This window comes from Homo sapiens, chromosome 7 (assembly GCF_000001405.40).
Source record: "Homo sapiens chromosome 7, GRCh38.p14 Primary Assembly".
Lineage (NCBI taxonomy): Eukaryota > Metazoa > Chordata > Mammalia > Primates > Hominidae > Homo > Homo sapiens.
This window is the reverse complement of record NC_000007.14, coordinates 94,087,861-94,091,272: the sequence shown is the minus strand read 5'-3', so window position 1 is coordinate 94,091,272 and position 3,412 is coordinate 94,087,861. Positions and strand designations below refer to the sequence as shown.

Below are 3,412 nucleotides of genomic sequence, written 5' to 3'. Positions count from 1 at the left end.
GCTCAATTCTGTATTCCTCTGTCTCCATACAATGCAGTTGAGAAAATCTGTATGAGCTGGAGATTGGATAGAATAACCTGTCCATTTTGCTGTATTCAGGAACAGAGAGAAAGGGAGACAGAATGGATGCCTCAACGTAGAATTACAGAAACGTTAGTAGCTTAGTAATTAATGGTGAGATTTTGGGAGTTTTATTACCAGTTTATATTATTTTTTAGGATTCACATTTTTCTAAAGTGGGTATCTATCATTCATATTAATAATTTACAAGCAAAAAATGAATAAGATACATAGAAATAGCCTTATAGGACATCTGCAAAGAAAGGGAAAACTATATAACTCTAGCTTGAAAGTATCCCTCATTACCAACTAAAATGGTACAAAATGTTCTGTCAACCACAGGCAATGCCTCTGAGAACCTTGGAATGGAGAAAGGGAACAATGTCATCTGCACTCAGTCATGGAGGAAACAGCTGGACAAGTCAGCACAGGGCGGAGGTGACCGGTGGAGGCGACTAGGACTTCTTCAGGTACCTGGAGATCACTGAACGCTGGCCTTCCAGACCCCTTTACACCAAGTGCGCTATCCTGAGGGAAATGGCCTGCCTGAAAGGGACTAAATGAGTTTGGCCTTCATGCTCAGAGAGGCACAGCAGAAAGTGTAGGAGGAGATCAGGGTCTTTTGCTGTTTGCTGTCTCTCTACTACCAATCTCTGAAATGCCTTTCTTTAAAAAAAAGAAAATGAAATATCTTTATTGGCTTGGATTTTTCTAATGACAGAAAAGAGAAGTGAGGAGACAAGATTGGGAATTGAGGTCAGAGAAGCATCCGTGGGTAGACGTTGCATTGTGAGGCGACGTCGGGGATCTACTGATTAGCCGGTCTGGCTGCCGCTCTCCATCCACACAGGGCATTTGGCCACCCATTCCTGCTGATTAAGGGGCAGTGTCCTGGCAGCTTCTGATAGATAACTTGGTTGTTTTGTTATAAGGAGCTTTATTTCCTCAGGATGAATTATGAAGATTTTTCTTTTTGTTGTTTCAAAATAGGGCTGTCTTATCTGAGAATGTGTTAATTAAAGTTATCATGTATTACCTTGTTTCTAGTCCTACACATTTGATATGAACAAATTACTGTTTACAAGACAGCTTCCTGTACTTAGAATAGCAGCTGTTGTTACTCCACCAAGAAGAGCTGCCCAGAGGGGCTAGGGCATGAGGAATAGGTTTGGAGACAGGAAGAATAAAGGAATGTTCAGATCTAGCTCGAGGGCAGGCGGGACACTTGTGGTGGGATGGTTGGGTCCACTTCGCTTTCTGTTTTGCCTCCTAACCAATCTGATGTTATCTACTCACGGACCTCCATTTTCCTGGTGCACTCTTTTGGCTGGCCCTCCTGCTAAATCTCTTTGCTGGCTGAACCTTAGCCTTCCCTAGCCACAAGCCAATGAGAAAATCACTACCTCTATCTCACTAGGTTGGAGCGTAGCACTTTGGGAATGGAAGCAACAAGTCCTAACCTCACAGTCAGTCAGGCATTCAACTCAAATACATGATCATTTATTCAGGAGGCATCTGCTGTGTGCAATGGCTTTGGGACAGCACAGAGAGAGATGCAAAGATGGAAACACTGTCTCTACCCCAGTGTAGTTTAGGACCTGTCTTGGGAAGAAAGCAATTGTTTCCAATAACAGTAGTAAGAACAGCAAGAGAGATGCAGTGATGTAGAATGGGAAGGAGATTCAGAGCATTCTTGAGTGAGCTGCTAATTGGAGGGCTGAGGGGATTGTGACTTCATCCTTTGCATCCAGGTGCTGCTGGCGTGTCTGGTGCACAGTGGGTGCTCTGCAGTGTTTGCCAAGCCATTATTGAGAAGGGGTATCCAATGGTGTGCATACCCCTTCGAAAGGGCTTACTAGTCATGTGAGGTGCTACTAGAGAGACAAGTTAAGGTTTTGAATGAGAGATGAGAGTTGGAAGAATATTCTAGTGGAAAAAAAGAATATGAGAAACAGTTCAGAAACATGGAATCCCTGCTCAACTTCCTCTGCTCACTGCCCCCGGCCACTTCATCCAGGGATGTTGAGGACAGATTTCTCTACAGGTAATTGGAAGCAAGACTTACTTGGAGAAAATAGTTTCATTGGTCTCTTGTCTCTGACAGTACTCACAAAGCCTCCTTGCTTGTTTGCTTCCTTCCCTTAATCCCATTCTTTCATTCCGAACCTTTCTACGTCTCCCTTAAGTCCTATTTTCTTTTTCCCTTGTTCTGAGCTCCCATCACCATCTTTATCCCCTGTCAACCAAGGAGACAGGGCACAGGTGCAGTTACCAGGTCACCAAGCTAAACAAAGGGCTTTAGAGTTGGTCTTTTTTGTGACTGTCCTGCCTCCCTCTAGGTATTTATCTCTTTTCTGTGGGTAGCATAACAGAAGCTCAGAGAGTTGATGTGCCTGCAGCATGACATAAGTGGAAGTCACAAACATTCATTTTCCACTTCTTTATTTTGCCTTCTGAGTCATGGTGCCTCTGCATAATTTAAACCTTTTCTCTCCCCACTGCCTTAACCCCTGAAAATCTGCAACAAGTTCACATGCATCCTTAATTCTCCACTCTAGAATTTCAAATGGAAGTTTTAAACAATGTTTTGGCTTCTTGTGAAATCTGAGAATCCAGTGTATGTCCTTGGTCTTACAATAAAAGGCTGGTAAAAGTCCTTTTTTTTTTTTTAACTTCCTCTTTCTCTACTCTATTGTCCAGTTTTGGCTTTCCTATTTTCCCTCATCTTTGTAAAATTGCCTTCCAGATGTCTCTTCAAATGACTTGACAGCAGCCCTGTTATCTTCTAAGAGCCTAAAAGCACTTTGGCTGCTTTAGAAAAATGTGTTTGTTTTTTCTTCTTATTAGGCAGCATCTGAAGTCTCTCTGAAAACACAAGAAAAGAATATACAGAGAACCTCCCAGAAACTGCAAGTCCCATGGAAATTAAGGCCATTAGTGTTTTGTATAATAAACAGTCACCTTTGCATTTAAAATGGACTATTTTGTTTTGGATATAGGTGGAGTAGGATATAAATGTATACTTCCTTGCTTCTTAGTTTATCATAGGAATCTAAGAAAAGAACTAAGGATAAGAGAAAAGGAGGAAAAAAAGACAGCTCTGCTGCTTTTATCTCAGGTTATTTCAGAAAAAACAAAATGATAACCCTGCAAAATTCTCAGCACTCTTCACTTTGGTTCCACCGCTTTCAGTGGGTGACTTGTCTGGAAAGGAATCTCTTTTAGCCTTCCTGGCTAATGAGCCATGGCAGATAATGCCACAAGGTGTCACTATTGCTAAAATCGCTCTCCACCTACAGGATCGATTGCGGTTATGGTTATGTGAATGTGAATTAGATTTCACTTTTGTTTC

At 42.0% G+C, this 3,412-nt stretch overlaps 1 long non-coding RNA gene across 1 annotated transcript; it reads left to right on the top strand.

The window, feature by feature from the left end:
* The first annotated feature begins 1,471 nt into the window (after positions 1-1,471).
* Positions 1,472-3,035, top strand: LOC124901812 (uncharacterized). The gene is made up of 2 exons (XR_007060642.1): positions 1,472-2,104; positions 2,908-3,035. It is a non-coding gene; the product is annotated as an uncharacterized LOC124901812 (long non-coding RNA).
* The last annotated feature ends 377 nt before the right edge of the window (positions 3,036-3,412 follow it).